At 36.6% G+C, this 18255-nt stretch overlaps 1 protein-coding gene and 1 non-coding gene across 3 annotated transcripts in view; both read left to right on the forward strand.

The window, feature by feature from the left end:
- CDC5L (cell division cycle 5 like) overlaps nt 1–18255 on the forward strand; it is a 62720-nt gene that overhangs the window by 35252 nt on the left and 9213 nt on the right. For both annotated transcript variants that reach the window (NM_001253.4, XM_047419605.1), the window contains 4 exons: nt 1462–1626; nt 3146–3226; nt 3525–3767; nt 6756–6953. In NM_001253.4, coding sequence (NP_001244.1) covers nt 1462–1626; nt 3146–3226; nt 3525–3767; nt 6756–6953 — 687 coding nt within the window. The remainder of the gene's footprint in view (nt 1–1461; nt 1627–3145; nt 3227–3524; nt 3768–6755; nt 6954–18255) is intronic.
- MIR4642 (microRNA 4642) lies at nt 12684–12765 on the forward strand. The gene has a single exon (NR_039785.1). It is a non-coding gene; the product is annotated as a microRNA 4642 (primary transcript).

An 18255-nucleotide genomic window follows, 5' to 3' on the forward strand; every position in this document is an offset into this window, starting at 1 on the left:
TGATGAAAGGGAATATTTTGGGCTCAAAACCCACCTTTCTTTATGCTTACTAGGTTTGTGAATATTGATGTTCGTTGTTGATTTCACTGAAGTTTTCTTTAGCAAGCTGAGGTAGAAAGCTAACTGTAAAAAGTTAAGTTTTGCTTCTGCCCGTGTTACTGCGTTTATTACTTTGCTATTGGGCCTTATTATCTAATGCCACAGAAATCATTGTGAAATTAAAAAAAAAACTTCTAATGATACTGGCTTGTCTTCAGTTTAAAATTAATTCTAACCTCATGTATATATTTGGTTGATTTATATATGTTTTTTAAAGTTCAAATTGATATCAACTAAAGCCAACTCTGAATGGATACATAAGAATTAAATAGATTAAGAACCTCATGCATGCAGAGCATGCATTTGGACATTTGAGGGGATCTAAAGTTGAATAAAGATGTCCTTTGTCCTAAGGAAATTTATATTCTGGGGAGATTGACAGTACTAAACTAAGTCCAAAAATAATTGCAATATCAGAACAGAATAAGCCCTTTGAGTAAAACCAGTGTGCTTAGGGTAGTTAAAGAAGGGAATAGTCACATTTGTTGGGTAACAGGAAAGCCTTATTAGAGGAGCTATGTTCTGAAGGAGGGTGGGGGCTGTCTCAGATGGAGACTACAATATGAGTAAGCATGGAGGATGTTTTAGATATAGCAACTCATCTGTTCCTCACACCTGGTACATGTAAGCACTGAGGATGGATGGGAAAACTCTGGGTACCAGGAGGCTTTTTTGGGAACCAGGACTCTACTTTCTTTCTTCTGCATGGGATTTAGTATTTCCATTAAAAATAAACACATACATACAAATTCAAGTATCTTTTAGAGTGGATTTTATTAGTCCAAGGACAAACTAACTTTTGAACCTGTTCTTTTCATTTGCTGTTAACTTTCGGTGTCAGAAATGTGTTCCCTCAAAGTGGTCTTTTTTTCTGCCCTGGCCTCAGACCTCCTGTTGGAATATCCCAGAGTATCTTCAGTGATCACAAGTGAAAGTTTTTGGTTGGTCTTAATGTTGGGAAGAAGGGGGGATAGAAAATAAACATAAGACTTGTCTTAGCTCTGAAGTCAGGATTATTTTTCTAGAATTAATATTAGGCTGATTTTTTTTGAGACTTTTTTTCTCTTTCTGTAATTTTTAATTTTTGTGGATACATAGTAGGTGTGTATATTTATGGGGTACATGAGATATCTTGATACAGGCATGCATGTGTAATAATCATATCGTGGAAAATGGGGTATTCATCCCCTCAAGCATTTAACCTTTGTGTTTGAAACCATCCAATTATTCTTAGTTATTTTAAAATGTACAGTTATTTTGACTAGAGTCACCCTGTTGTGCTATCAATTTTTAAGAGACTCATAAAATACTGGTGGAATGTTTAATATGCATGAATTGAGAAGGACCACTTCTTTTCTACAGGAAAGAGAATCCCGAGAACATCTCCGTTTAGGGTTGTTGGGCCTTCCTGCCCCTAAGAATGATTTTGAAATTGTTCTACCAGAAAATGCCGAGAAGGAGCTGGAAGAACGTGAAATAGATGATACTTACATTGAAGATGCTGCTGATGTGGATGCTCGAAAGCAGGTGGGTAACTGTACTGAAAGAAGCGTGAGTTTGGCTGAATGTGTCAGTAGGCTGGAAGAATGAAGAATAGCCATTAAATGTCCCAAGATCTCTACCTAGTCCTTTTTAATATTGAAAAAACTTCTAAAGTAAATAACTTATGTCATTAATAATGTATCCTCACATAATTAACATACTCACAATATTTTGATGAGCATTCTTAAAAATATATATATGGAAATTTAAATACATTCTGTCAAATTCATTATGCTTCTCTAAAATACACATAGGTAGTCTTTTAGACATTGCTTCAATCTAGCAAAGAAAAGATGTTATTGGTTAGTCTTAAAAACAAATACATCTTGGTTCCTGGGTGGTGCGATGTACGAGCCTGTAGTCTCAGCTGCTCGAGAGGCTGAGGTGGGAGGATTCTTTGGGCCCAGGAGTTTGAATCCAGTCCGGGGAACATAGTAAGACCTCTATCTAAACTGGAGTTGGAAATTTAGATAGAGTGTGTCAAAATAATATTAGTAACACTTTGTACTAATATATCTTATACGTAATTACTTTCTCATTTGCACGTAACAGCACAGTGATATAAATAGGATCGGTATTACAGGTTGAACATTGCTAATCCAAAAATCCAACACCTGAAATGCTCCAAAATTCAAAACTTTTTGAGTGCCGACATGAAGCTCAAAAGAAATGCTCATTGAAGCTTTTTGGATTAGAGTTAGTATAATGCAGATGTTCCAGAATCTGAAAAAATCAGAAATCCAAGATACTCTGGGCCCAGATATTTCTAGTAAGGAATACTCAACAAGCTCAGATGAATTGAGGTCTCATGGTCTCAACTTTCTCAGGTCTCATGGTGGGTAAGTGGTGAATCCTAAACTAGAACTGATATTTTATGACCCCTTTCAGTAGCTGCAGTCCATTGCTGGATGATTTTAGGGACCTTGAATCTCAGGGGATTGGAGTGAGAATGACATCAGTGGAAACAATATTTTAGAGGGGACCCATGTAAATGTGCTTTTCAGTGGGGAACAGAGGATGATACTTTTTGTGTTTAGTTCTCAGCTACTTTGAGTTACATTTACTCCTTCAGAAATGGCATGAAATTTTAATGTGTTATCCCACATTATTCATAAGAATCAGGAAACAATACATTTTTTGGCTGGCTTTTTGAGTTAAAAGTCAGTAATTTTGGAGTGAAAGGGAAGAAAGAGTTTTGTCGTGGGAGTCTCTTTGGAGTTTAGGTTTTCCATTTAGATGAGAAAAGTTTGTTACGTGATATGGATCCATGCAAGTTTGGAGAATGCTCTAGTAGACATTGGAAGCTCTTAGTTTCTATTATAATGAGAGTGAATAGACTGATTCATTTCTGTTGCCTTAGCATTGCCTTTCTACAAACTTAAACCGATTTCTAAACTTTAGCTATTGAACACACATGATCTTACATACCAAAGTGTTTTTAGCTTTACTGAGAGATATCAAATACGCTATAGCTGCAATAAAGGATATAAAAATCATTTTTTAGGCCATACGAGATGCAGAGCGTGTAAAGGAAATGAAACGAATGCATAAAGCTGTCCAGAAAGATCTGCCAAGACCATCAGAAGTAAGTGTTAGAATTTCTGGTTTAGGAAGTTTTAAGTTTCTTTTTATATGATTGCTGCGTTTTACATCATTCATAAAGACTATAAAACAAAATTTCATCTACTTTCTGGAATATAGCAAAGTAGTTCTCAAATCCAATCTTTAAAATGTTTCAGTAGTACCAGAAAGAATTTAGAAGGAAAAAAATGGAAATTGCTTTTGAAAATGTAAAACCGCTGTTTAATTCATGCTGTAACAGGTAATAACATTAATATATTATAGTGATATGTTTGGTAATTGTATTTGTTTTAAAATTTTAGGTAAATGAAACTATTCTAAGACCCTTAAATGTAGAACCGCCTTTAACAGATTTACAGAAAAGTGAAGAACTAATCAAAAAAGAAATGATCACAATGCTTCATTATGACCTTCTACATCACCCTTATGAACCATCTGGAAATAAAAAAGGCAAAACTGTAGGGTTTGGTACCAATAATTCAGAGCACATTACCTATCTGGAACATAATCCTTATGAAAAGTTCTCCAAAGAAGAGCTGAAAAAGGTATGATTGAGCTGGAATATTTCTTCTTGAGATTTAGGTAGTTGTTAGGTGCTGTGTATCATGGACAAATAATGAACTTATTTTTCCCTGTTGGTATTCATAAACAACTGAAATGTATGATTAGGAGATGCATGTTTAGATTAAGTGTTATGAAAAGGACATGCTTTAAATACCTCCATCCCCCGTGTTCAGTGTGATAGACCTTTAGCAAATAAACACCGCCAGGGTGTTTTTGGTTCATGGGTATTAATGGCTTCGTTGACAGTTGTTACAGTTGCCGTTTTCTGTATTCAGCTCTGCTATCTCTGAATAAAAATTAGATGCCTTTAGTACTTAAACATCACTTATTTAGAATAATATGAAGAGGTGAGAGAGACTAATATAAAAATGTTTATAGATTAAACCTTTTAGCTATTGAAAGGAAGGAAGTATTTTTTTTACTGAATATATTCCCCTCACATGATTTCCCCCTACTCTTTTGGATAAGGACATGAAGAAATGATTTCTTATATGAAGTCTGTATCTGGTCTTTTCTTCTACATGCATTTTATTCCTTCTGTTTTGACAGAGCAAACAACTGTGATTGTAAATAGAAATCTCCATAATTGTATAAGAAGATACAGTGGGTCTCATCGTTGGAAGCAGAGTGGTCATTAGCTTAAAAGTCTTTTTTTCTTTAGCCTTCAGCCCTGAGGAGCAGTGATAGACCTATGGATTTGGAATGAGCTGCTGTATACTTAGGATAAAACAAACAAGATTCTTACAAACTCTCCTGTCTTCTCTCCTGCATTCTTCCTCTTTCTTCGCTTTTCACAATTTCTTACTTTGTGTTTTCTTTATTGCATAAGTAATACATTATTTATTATAGGATTTTTAGAAAATAGAGAAAGGAAGGAGGGTTTCGATTTATATTTCAATAACTTGTCCCTGATTTCAGAATAACTGAGTCACTCATTTTTTAGTAAGTGCAGTAGGGAAACTAACATCTGTTGAGTTGCCTACTCTGTCGAGCACATTTAATCATTGAACTGGGATTGAGAATCAGGCTACGAAATTGATACTTGCACAGTTTCCTCTTTTGAAAGTGAAAATATGAGGGGAAGAGGAATTTAGGAAATAAATTTTCCTAAATTGTATGTATGGAAACCTAAAACAAGGATCACATTGTTGCTTTTGGAGATTCTGTAGAGGGTAAACCCTAACACAATTTTTGAAAAATAATAATTCTAAGTATTGGTTTGTAATTGTTTGAAACAAAGTAGCTTAAATATTCTCTCATATTTTATCTGTGTATATCTCTCTTTGTTCCAAAAAGAATTTGAAGCAGCTATTTAGTTAGCAGATTATTTATGGATAGTTTAAAGATAACTTAGCCATATTCTCTCGTAATGATTATAAGATCTGAACTTGTAAATTTTTACTCTGTGCAGTTTCAGAGTGAAATAGCATTTCTCTTTTAATAAACTGTCAGATTTTCTTTTTCTTTAATATACTTTAAGATATGTTAACATTGATTTGTTTCCATTATTTCCCTTAAGGTATTAAGTGTCCATTTTTTCTTCTATAGAGATGATTTTCCGTTTCTTTTGTTAAAATTTTTTGTTTATCAATCATTTCTCTTGATTTTGTAGATTTTGATGTGTTTATTTTCATTATTACTGGAAAGATTGAAAGCCTTCTGTAAGGCACAGAAGGTGGTTCCCAGTTTTTCATAAGCCATGAAGCAAAGGGCTGGGAAAAAATTCATATGCTTATGGAATTCTGTGTGTCTGGCATTGGGCTAGGCTCTATAGTATATTGTTCACTTAATCCTAATAACAAACACATCTGATCTAAGGTCAGCATCATCATTGCTTGGAAAGCTGTTTTTCAGCTTTCCAGGCTGAAAAAGCCCTGAGAAATGGGCTCAGATAAATTAAGCAAGCTCAAAGAGCTGCTTCAATGGTAAAGCTGTGATCTGAACCCAGGCCTGTCCAGCTTTCCCTCTCATTCTGTCATTTTACACTATTTTCTTTAGTAGTGAACTAAACTGGTTTATGATCTATCATCTAATTCGTGCCCCAGTCTCATTATCTGGCAATGTCAGGGCATTCCTTCAGGATGAGAAAAATGCCATGTGACAAAAAGATGCCTAGCTCCCCTTTACCATCACGTGAGGTCCTGCACACATGGTGGAGTGGGAGAGTGGAAGGGGCACACCCAGTGGTGCCATTTGTATTCTGCCTCATCTGCCTACTAACGATGTGGTCTTAACAAGTGGTTGAATCTCTATGAGCCTTAGTTTCATTAGCTTTTTTTTTTTTTTTTTTTTTTTTGAGACTGAGTCTCACTCTGTTGCACAGGCTGGGGTGCAGTGGCACGATCCCAGCTCACTGCAGCCTCCACCTCCTGGGTTCAAGGGATTCTTGTGCCTCAGCCTCCTGAGTAGCTAGGATTACAGGCATGTGCCACTACGTCCTACTAATTTTTACATTTTTAGTAGACACGAGGTTTTGCTGTGTTAACCAGGCTAGTCTTGAACTCCTGGCCTCGTTATCCGCCCACCTCAGCCTCCCGAAGTGCTGGGATCATAGGAGGGAGCCACCGTGCCTGGCCAAATTTCATTAGCTTTTAAATGAGGTTAATATTGGCTAATTTGTAAGGTGATTATGATCTTTGGATATAATGTAGGTAAAACTTTTAAACCTAGTTTCTCACACACACAATAGGTACCTGAGAAATGATAGCTGCTGTTATAGTGAGTGAAAGCAAAGGATGTTTATACTTTTGAGGAAACATGGATGCTTGATTTTTAAAAAGCAGTCTGCATTGACTCAAAGGCTTCTTAAGCTATTTTTCCTAGGTATTGTTATCCACCCTTCCAAAAAACAACCAACCACATCTTGGATTTGACTCAAGGCATGAGGGAAAAAATTAGTCTTCTAAAGCTCTCTGGATATGGCAAGTGTTTGTAGTACTTAAACTTATTGAAATTATTATTGTAAACAGGCCCAGGATGTTTTGGTGCAGGAGATGGAAGTGGTTAAACAAGGAATGAGCCATGGAGAGCTCTCAAGTGAAGCTTATAACCAGGTGTGGGAAGAATGCTACAGTCAAGTTTTATATCTTCCTGGGCAGAGCCGCTACACACGGGCCAATCTGGCTAGTAAAAAGGACAGAATTGAATCACTTGAAAAGAGGCTCGAGGTTGGTATCCTTTTAAAATTTTAATTTTAAATGTACTTTGATTGAGATAATGAACTAAATAATGCCACTGGAGACAATGTCAGAAAAACACACCTGAGGTGCTTATTGCCTTTTTAGTTGTTGGAGAAAACTACACTTAAGTGTTGGATCTTCTTGGCCTTGTTCATTGTTTTTTTTTGTTTGTTTTGTTTTTGTTTTTTTTTTAAAGAATTGTTGGCCTTCATGACTAAAGAGTGCCCTGCAAGTTGACCAGAGGTCAATCAGAACCTTTAGATGTGGGAGCAAGGAGCCAAGAAGCCAATACTAGTCACTCAGAACAGGCAGGTCATTGCTAGCATAGCCTGTTTTCTCTGAAGAGGAATCTCAGCAGTAACGAGGAGTTTTCTTTTTATAACAAAGAGAGTACATTTACAAAACTTAAATACAATTCTGTTCATCCTTGGATTACTGTGAGTTTGAGTTAGGGAGGGCAGAGCTGGATTATCTAGTTAGTGGCTTCCATGATTTTTCATGTCTGTGAAAATGTTGAAAACATACTAGATGCAGTTTCAGGACATGTGGTTTCTTAATATAGTTTGCATATTTTGAATTCCAGAATCTGTGTAGGCATTTTGCCAATGGCATGTAAATTGTGGTTCACAGACCACCAGGCTGCCTTGTGCATTCTTTTTTTTTTTTTTTGAGACCTAGTCTCAGTCTGTTGCCAGGCTGCAGTGCAGTGGTGCAATCTTGGCTCACTCCAACCTCTACCTCCTGGTTTCAAGCGATTCTCCTGCCTCAGCCTCCCTAGTAGCTGGGACTACAGGCACGCCCCACCACGCCCAGTTAATTTTTGTATTTTTAGTAGAGACAGAGTTTCACCATGTTGGCCAGGATGGTCTTGATCTCTTGACCTCGTGATCCACCCATCTCAGCCTCCCAAAGTGCTGGGATTACAGGCGTGAGCCACCATGCCCGGCTATGCCTTGTGCATTTTTAATGGTAATCTTTAGGGGCATTTCTAAGGCCAAGGTGGGATGGGAGAGAAGGGGTACTTCAGGCAGTCATATACAGAAAATCGTCTTGGTTTCCTCTTTTATGTGATTACCAGTTTCTCTTTACAAAAAGTGCATTTGAAAATATTTTTATTTAGGGTTAAAGCCAGAAGTAGTAAAATCACTTGGGGTGGTTGGGGCTGTATGGGGCTGAGGAAATGAGCAGGAAAAAGCAGTATCTTTTAATTTGAGTTATTCTGAGTTTTAATTTAACCATTAAGATCACATATATATAGGTAGCTGATGGTTAATGCCTGTGAACCTCTTTTTTTCTCAGTGAGAAATGACTGGTTCTGAAGTAATTCTCATCTTGGGTAAAATCTTAGTTCAGTGCTGCTAATTATTTGTATTACCAACTTCCAGCAGGGTGTGCTGTTGCTCTGTGTTGTGGTTCAGTGTTAAAGCCAGGGAAAATAGAACATCAGTGGTTAAATTGTAAGTTACATTTTTTTGTTGTGTAGGCTTCATTTCTTATAAATGGTAGTTAGCAGTGTAATTGTGATCTAATATCAGCATCATCACTGATTGAAAAGCTATTTGGAAAGCTTCTTTGTATTATTTATATATAAATACTTAGGTTTCTTACTTAGTATGAAAATCTTCTCATTTGAGGTGGGTAAACTCTTTTTGCCGCAAATGGCAAGAACATTTTGTGCTTTTTTAAATGGTAGAAAATTTTTTTCTCCCTAAATCTCATTTACTTTGTTGAGGTACTAACTTTCATGACAGCAAATAAATGTGTCACACAGTGAGTGGTGCCATAAAGTACAGTAATTTTTATTTCTGTGTTGAATTGGTCTTATGAATTTTAAAGGGAAAAATACAGAAAGAGCCACTCCTGTTCTTTTGGAGATTTATTTGGGTCGTTTATGAGCAACCATTAAAAACATGTGGTTCTCTTTGTTCAGTTCAGTACCAGGAACTGAAATCTTCCGTTGAACTATTTTTGTTGAAGGATTGGTGATTTTGGAGAATATTCATAAAGCAGTCTGAAGTCATTTTTCTTTTCTTGACTCTTGGATAACTTACTTTATTGTTTACCCAGCTAGTTACTTTTAAAGAATACTTAATCAAGTCCTTTAATTTGGTAAACTGTGCTTATTTCAAATGAAAGTTCATGAAATCTTTTAAAAAAAGAAAAGCAGCTCAAAGACTTGAATAAACAAACCCCCATTTTATTTGTATCCATCACTAATTCAGAACTAGGTTTCTTTTAGCTTGTTTTAGTTTTTGAAGACACAGTTCTATTGGTTTGAAATACATAAATATTTTATTTCAATTGTGGTAATTCTTTCATTTCAGTTGATTGCTAAATTATAAACATTATTCAAAGTTTGTTGTGGGGAAGGAACTCCAGTTATATTGTATAAACTAAATGCTATACTTAAATTATCCTTTCCACTCTTAGGTTCAGGAGATAAGCCCTTCTCTGTAAGCACTGTATGCCATGGCTGCCAGTGTGTTTGATTTTTGCTGCCATGAACTTTGGAACCGTGAATCTAAATTATGGCCCTATCACTGCCTATCAAGCAAGATGAAGTCCAGCTTTGTCGTGGCTGGTGTCTCCTGAATGGATTAAAAAAAAAAAATGCCCTGAGGTTTATATTGGAGGTAGTCTTTGAGCCATTCATTACTCATGATTAATATTTGAAACTTAGCACTTAAGTGAAAATCCTTAAGATACTCATTTAAAACTAATAGAACCATCTCAGATTTTATGTAGAATGTGGTAGAGGATGTGTGTGTGCAAGGAGTTTGTTAAATAAATAGAATCAGAATGCAGTTACAGGTCAGAAATAAGTGGAAAAGACTTCTGAATTGTAACCAAGTCCATGTATTTTATTCTGCTTTGGAGGCAGAATTGAGTTTAGAACCTTGCCAGACTTTTGTGTGTAAAATAAGACAGCAAGAGCAAACACAGCAATGACAGTTAATATAAGGAAAGGAAAAGTTATGAGAGCATACCATGCTGTGTCCATTTTTACATGGTGGCAAAAAGCCCAGTGTATTTTAATAGCTTTAAAGACACTAAGATACATTGCAGGGGAGTAAAGTGATTGCTATTTATAGTGGTATCCCAAATTAATAAGAAAAACTTTATTTCTTTTCAGTGTCATGTTTTTTTAAAAGGGCGGGATGGCTATAATTCAGTGTAGGAAACATTTTCACAAATGGTTAAAAATAAAAGAGCTTTAGTACTTTTATTTATTCACACATTCAGTAATTATTACTGCCTATCTACCACGTACTGGATACTGTTCTAGGTCCTGGGGATAACAGCAAGGAACAAGGCAGACAAGTTCTCTGTGTTTGTGGGCTTCAGTTACCTGGAAAATGCTTAATGTGTGGAGAACCTCGTTTTCTGATGATGCCAGATAAATGAGTCATTACTGTATTTGGGAAGTGCAAATAGAATTTTAAGTGTTCTAATTTGTTTCTACTTTAAGTGGAAATAGGAAATCATCTGAAGACATAATTATTTTGAGTGAAATAATTTCCAGTGGGTGCAAAAGTGAAATGAGAAGTCTGAATTTAGGCATGCCGTTAAATTTAATAGTATTTGAAATAGTATCTAAACTGCTGTGTTGAGGAAGTTTGGCTGAAAAGTGGATTTTGTCACGTTAGCTGTAAAAATGGAAAGGCTTTCCTTAGAGATAGAAAATAGGTCCAGAAGTAATACTACTTCTCCCTGTAATTTACTGGCACAGTCAACTGTAGTCAAGAAATATTATATAACATAGACTTCTTAGAAGTAAAGTAACTTAAAGAACACAGATAACACACTTAAAATCCTTCTCAGTGTACTTGTAGCTCTTATGAGGACCCCTGACTTGTCTGAAGGTTATATTTCTGCAAAATTGGCTGCACAGTAGATCTCATTTTCTCAGTGATTTTCATTATAAAGTCAGATATTTTTACACAGGAAAAAATTTCCTTAATACTTTAAAGAGGGAAAACTTAGGGCAAGGATTTAGTTAGTAGACAGTTCTGGGTAGAGTGCTATATGTTGTCAGATATCAGCAGGTTTATGCTTATGTTGCCTTGTGTAGAGGTGGGGGAAGTGACTTGTGGTACAGGAGAGGAATTCACAGTACTTTGGAATACTCTCTCTTTCCCAAATTCTGTTCTTTGCTATGACCCTTATAGGCACTGACAGATTTCGTAGTTGTCTCTGGTAAGAACTTTATGAGCTGGAACAGACATCCTGATACAACCAGGTTGCTTCTGTTATGCCTCAACATGAATTGAATTTGTTTTATGCAGTTTACGTATTTCACTTCCTAATGTATGCAGATGTACAGTGCTCTTGTATTGCTTTGTTCATGTATTACTGTCCTTATAAAGGTTTTTAGTAAGGTTTTGCCTTCCTGGTTAGCATGCTTTTCAGGGATGCAATCTGATGGTTGCTAACTCATAGATGCAAACAATAATTACTTTCTTGGACCTGCGTCTCATCAGAGTAGAGAAGGTTCACTGATAAAAATGCTGGTAATTGGTATAGAGATTAAAGGAGAATCACTCATAGACTCCTGTTGTTTGCAAATGTTTTGGTGATTGAACCACATCTTGACTATTATATGGGATCATATTGCTGATTGATGGACTGGGAAGTGGAGCTCCCATTGACTGCCTGTTTATTTTGGGTATCCTTAAACCTGTTTTTCCAGTGGTATAAGGTTATATTCTGGGCCCCCAAGCAAGAGTTTCAGTGAGGGGTGCTCTTAATGTTTCTGAACCTCACTGTAACGGACTTTTACTGAAGACAGTATTGGAGACCCAAGGATAATGTGTTTATTTTGGAATTACTTAAGCTTAGTAACCTTAACAAACTTAGCTTGAAAGTAACAGTTACACTTTCATAAGTCCCATACAGCTCCCTTTTGTAATGACCCGAGGAAACACTTATGGTTCCACTGATTCATCTCCTGGGGACCATCAGTTTTCCATTGGTCTCTGGCCAGTCTTTTTTAGACAGTTTCTCTTCTATGCATTTAAAAAAATAACATTTCTAGGCGTCTTTCTATAAATAATACCTGTGCTTTGTAGAAGTTTTAAAAGAAGTAGAAAACATAAGAAAAGGAACCTACTATCCAGACATAATCACCTTAAACATTGTGGTGTATATATGCACCCCGCCCCCCCTGCCCCCACATACTCCCATATATCTTTTTTTTTTTTTTAAATGTTTGGATGAAGGTGTTTAAAACTAAACTGGGATCATATTCTACATTTTTCATTTAATAGTTGTAAATATGATTAAACACTAGTTATATTCCACCCTACTTCTAAAAAGGTGGTAAGTGGAACCTTTTTTTCTGTATAATTTTTTTGAGAGATATTTGTTTTCTTATAGTTTTATAGCTTGTTAATAAAAGAATTTAGAATTTTAAAATACAAACTGAGGAAAGTAAAAGCTTTTCTCAGGTGTCAAAATTCTTATAAGTGGGTACATGTAGGTGAGAGTCTAAATCAGGGTAAGAATGATGGGCAGAATTGCTAATTAAGGTCTTATTTCTTGTTTACATGTGTCTAGAATAATTTATTTTTCAGGGAGCTGTCTGGTGAAATTTAAGCCATTCATTTCCACAGCTTAAATTTTTTCAGGCATGTTTGCATTTCAGGGGGCTGAGCCAAGGAGGGGGACAGTCAGTTTATTAGCAGTGGTGTGACCAGTGTATTGGACTTTCAAATAGGGCACAACTGCATGGCATCGTCCCCTGGTGGCTGTGGCCTAGGGCAAGCCACAAAGCCACTCAGTGATGATGCCAGCAGTTGTGCCCTACTTAACCTCTCTGGGTCTCACATTTCCTTATCTGTAAAATTGGGTGAGTAATAGTTTTTGTTTTTTTTTTTTGAGATGGAATTTTGTTCCTGTTGCCCAGGCTGAGTGCAATGGCACGATCTTGGCTCGCTGCAACCTCTGCCTCCAGGGTTCAAGCAATTCTCTTGCCTCAGCCTCCCAAGTAGCTGAGATTACAGGTGCCTGCCACCACGCTCGGCTAATTTTTGTATTTTAGTAGAGACGGGTTTCACCATGGGTCAGGCTGGTCTTGAACTCCTGACCTCAAGTGATCCACCCACCTTGGCCTCCCAAAGTGCTGGGATTACAGGTGTGAGCCACCGTGCCCAGCCGAGTAATTGTTTTTATTTGATGGAAGCATGAGTTTGAGATAATATAAGATTAAATGAGATACTGTATGATTAGCAAATAGCAGGTGTTAGTAAATGGGAATTCTCCTCCCATGTGTCTTCAAGTCTATATCACCCTTAGAGTTACCTAAATTGGATTATACTTGGTTTGATACTATGAGGTATTAGGAACTAACCTCACTTTAAACAATCGGGTGGCTAAGTTTTTATATTCTGTAAATTTTGAGGAATGTCTGAAGTTTTAGACATGGGCTGATTTTAGGAGAGAGATTGTTGTACTGAGTGAAGCTTAAAACTCAGATTTTGGTTAGCGTAAATAGATTTTACATCGTGGATTTTAATCTAACATTTCATGTATACATTTTGGTGTGTTGAAATAGTTGACATATTTGTAAATTTTAATGTCTCATTATATTTCACTACATTGATGTTTCATGATTTGTGGTGTATGGTCTTGAGAAAGTAGCCTTTAGAGTAGATACAATATTGAATTTGACTTTTAAAAAATCTTATAAGAATTTTCAAATGTACCCCAGAGTATACTGGTATAATAAATCCTCATGTATTCTCACCCAGCTATGACAGTCATCAATCATAGCCACTCTTGTTTCCCCTGTTATCCCCCCTTCCACTATTATTTTGAAGCAAATTTTAGATACCGTATTATGAAATAGAATTACGGTGCGTGAAATTTGTCAGCTTGGCCTTCCTACCGATTTGTATGTGGATATATTCTTAATTTCCTGCTTTGAATTGAAGTTTACCCTTTCATATTTGATCAAGTCAGCTTTAATTGTATCAAGTGTCGGTCTACTTTAAATTCCTATCAGTGATAGTGAACTTCATTTTATTTAAGACTATTAGAAATTTTTTGTCAGTACATATTTAAAGCACAGTGTGGTGGCTTCTAAAGTAAGGTGTCCATCAGGGCAGTTGCTAGTGCTTGTTTTAAAAAATTAATTTAGAAATCTGACTGGTTAAATCTGAGTCTGATTTTCCCTTTTTCTTTGAATTTTAGGAAATAAAGTTTTATACTCTCTTGTACCTCAGTGTTGTTTCTGTGTGTGGATGGGTGTTGGGAGGAGCTGGGCTGATTTAAGCTAGTCCTGTCCCTGTATGCATGTACATTTCATGCTTGAGGTTTATTGGCTTGAAAAAGACCAGAAACTGTAGGTTAGGATTTTTCCTCTTAAAGCATATTGAGCAGTCATAGGTTGAGCATTTTACAAAGCATGCAGATACCCTCCTTTGTGTTTTAATAATCAAATGACAGGCGTAAGATAACTAAGTTCAACTTGAATATTAAAAGCTGTAGTCCATTTCTTCTTTATATGTTTAATGACTATATAGTTATTTGGCTAAATTAATTTTTTTCTGTGCTTAAGTTAATTTTTGTACAATTTATGTCCATATTTGCTTGGAACCTTAGCGCAATATTTGAGCCAGAAGACTTGCAAAGCTTGAGCTAAATGAAATAAAATTGTTGGCATTAAAGGAAAGCTAACAACTTTGAAGTTTTAAAATCTCTGATGGTTTGAGTATAAGAAATGACTCCATTGGATGAGGTGAGGTAATTCCAAGATACAGGGTACTGATAATACTAAACGTACCTTGATGACTAATTAAGCAGTTTCTGAGTATAGGTATTATGCTGTAAAACCAAACTGGAAATGGACTATCCATGGAGCATAGTGTATAGCTGAGTTATCAATGAAAATGTTAATTCGTATGATTAATTTTTAAAAAGCATTATATGTATTAATTTGAAATTCTTTGCTGTTAAGGTTTTGGAATGTGTGTTTGAATCCAAATGTGATTGGAGTATGTAATAATGGGTATTCTTAGAACATGCTGAATTGTTTTACTTTTTTGGAGACAGGGTCTTTCTCTGTTGACCAGGCTGGAGTGCAGTGGCGCGATCATGGCTCACTGCTGCCTCCAACCTCTCAGGCTTGGGTGATTCCCGCCTCAGTCTCCCAAGTAGCTGGAACCACAGGCATGTGCCACTATGTCTGGCTAATTTTTGTATTTTTTGAGAGACAGTGTTTCACTCTATTGTCCAGGTTGGTCTCGAACTCCTGGGCTCAAGCGATCCACCTGCCTTGGCCTCCCAAAGTGCTAGGATTACAGGTGTGAACCACTGTTGCCTGGCTGAACATGTTAAATTATAGAAGAAGGAACTTGAATGTAACTTGATGGATTTAGTTGTTCATATCTTATTGGAAATGAGGACTTTTTGGTAGATATAGTTGAGAAAACAACTGATACCTAGCTTGTGTAATGACTCTGGCTGAAACAGAGTTTGACATCCTAATTGCCTGTTAGAATCATTTGGGAGTTTTTAAGGACACAAAGATCTGAGACCATTTAAATCAGAGTCTCTGGAGTTAGGGCACTGGTGCTGGTAGATTTTAAAAACTCCACTGGCAATTCTGAAGTTTAGCTGTGGTTGAAAACCACTGGCGTAAAAAGACATACTCCAGAAATATTTGAAGTGGAAGAGAGTGAGTACAAATTATTGTCTTCTTTCCTTGATGGTGTTGTAAAATTTATGTGGTGGAAGTTTTGTCTTTTTTTTTTTTTTTTTTTTTTAAACTCTAACTCCATCCCACTACTGCCTTTCTAGAACTTAGAAAGTACTGCTTTTGATTTCTGGGGAAAAGTATTTTTGCATTTTGTATCCAGAAGAATTGAAGATGAGGAATTTTTTTTTCTCCTGTGGAGGTAATGTTTCTACTCCTTGTATACCTTATTTTTATAATATCCTTACTGAGATATAAATTACATACCATAAAGTTAAGACAATTTAAAGTGTATAGTTCAGTGGCTTTTAGTAAATTGACATAGTTGTGCAACCATTATTGGAACATTTACATCACCTCAGAAAGAGATTCTGTATCAGCAGTTACTCCTCATTCCCCCCAACCTGCTCACCCCTAGGAAACCATTAATCTACTTTTTGTATCAATAGATTTGCCTATTTTGGATATTTCACATAAGTGGAATCATGTAATATGTGGTCTTTTGTGATGGGCTTCTTTTACTTAACATAATGTTTTCAAAGTTCATCCATGTAGTAGTATATATTAGTATTTGTTTTTATGGCTGAGTACCATTCCATTGTGTGGATAATACCACATTTTATTTATCCATTTATCAGTTGATGGATATTTGGGTTGCTTCTACTTTTACCTATTATGAATAATGTTGCTATGAACATTCGTGTACAGGTTTTCGTGTGGACATGTTTTCATTTCTCTTGGGAAATACTGGGAGTGGAATTACTTAGATACTTCCTTCACCTCATTTGAACTTCAGGGTTAGAAAATCTTCCCATAGAGTTGGGAAGCACCGCGAGTCCATGTTCTAACGCTATTTTTACACTGTAGGACAGAGGTCCAGTGTGTGTTGTTTGGTCTTGTGGTCCACAAGGGGCAAACTCCTCACTTAAAAGAAGGACCAGCTGTTTTTCCTTGCTGTGTTTCCAGGAAAGGGTCCACATAGACTTATATTGAAGTTGGAATTTTAATGAAGCTTTTAAAGCCTCATCCTTTTACTCCCTTAGTTGTTAGGGAAAAGAGCAAAATGTTTGAACTCTTAGTATCTGGAAAATAATAATGGTAATCAGACCTGACATTTGTTGACTGCTTATTCTGTGCCAGGCACTGGACAGCTGAGGCTTTTTATGTCTATGATCTTATTTAAGCTTCATAACAACTTGTAGCAATGACTGCCATTTTACTGATGGAGAAATGGAGACACATAGGTTAAATAACTTGCATCAGCTCAAAACAGCTGGGCAGCAATGCTGGGTTGTAAGAGTGACTCACTCTTACCCCGCTGTACTGTACTGCCTGCCTTCAACCAGTATATCCTAACTCCCTTAGGAGACATATAATCATTGCCATGGAACTTGGTTTGATTTATCAGAGGTTCATTTATAAAGGAAATTAACAGTTTTCATGAATTTATTGTTCAAGTAAATTGCAGAGGAATAAAAGCTTAACTTTTATAAAAATCTGAAGAAATGAATGGTTTTAAAGGAGCTTCTTCATTTAAATTAATTTTAGATCCATCTCATGTTTGTAAGGCACATAACATGCAGTGTTACTCGCCTGCCTCCACCTCCCATGGGCTTGACTTAGACTTTTTTTTTTTTTTTTTGAGATGGAATCTTGCTCTGTTGCTCAGGCTGGAGTGCAGTCGCCTGATCTTGGCTCATTGCAACCTCCGCCTCCTGGGTGTAAGTGATTCTCCTGTCTCAGCCTCCCGAGTAGCTGGGACTACAGGTATGCACCACCATGCCTGGCTAAATTTTGTATTTTTAGTAGAGATGGGGGTTTTGTCATGTTGGCCAGGCTGGTCTCGAACTCCTGACCTCAGGTGATCTGCCCACCGTGGCCTTCCAAAGTGCTGGGATTACAGTTGTGAGCCACTGCACCTGGCCATATTTTTAAAAGTTCTATTTTAATTGACAAATAATAATTGCATATGTTTATGGAGTAAGATGTGATTTTTTCCATACACATATGTGAAGTGATTAAATCAGCTAATTAACATATTAATCCCCTCAAATACATACCACTTCTTTGTGGAGAGAATATTTAAAATCCTTTTTTTTTTTTTTTTTGCTATGGAGTCTTGCTGTGTTGTCCAGGCTGGAGTGCAGTGGTGTGATCTAGGTTCACTGCAACCTCTGCCTCCTGGGTTCAAGCGATTCTCCCACCTCAGCCTCTGGAGTAGCTGGGACTACAGGCGTGTGCCACCTTGCCTAGCTAATTTTTGTATTTTTAATAGAGATGGCGTTTCACCATCTTGGCAAGGCTGGTCGTGAACTCCTAACCTCAAGTGATCCATCCACCTCAGCCTCCCAAAGTGTTGGGATTACAGGTGTGAGCCACCATGCCCAGCCTAAAAATCCCTTCTTTTAGCTATTTTGAAATAAACATGATTCTGTGATTACCATGCTATGTAATAGATCACCAGAACCTATTCTTCCGTCTAACTGAAACTTTGTACCTTTGACCAACATCTCCCCTTTCCCTATCTACCCTTTACCCCAGTATCCTCTGGTAGCCACCATTGTACTCTCTACTTCTATGAGATTAACATTTCTA

The sequence above is a fragment of the Homo sapiens genome, chromosome 6 (assembly GCF_000001405.40).
Source record: "Homo sapiens chromosome 6, GRCh38.p14 Primary Assembly".
In the NCBI taxonomy this organism is placed as follows: Eukaryota; Metazoa; Chordata; class Mammalia; order Primates; family Hominidae; genus Homo; species Homo sapiens.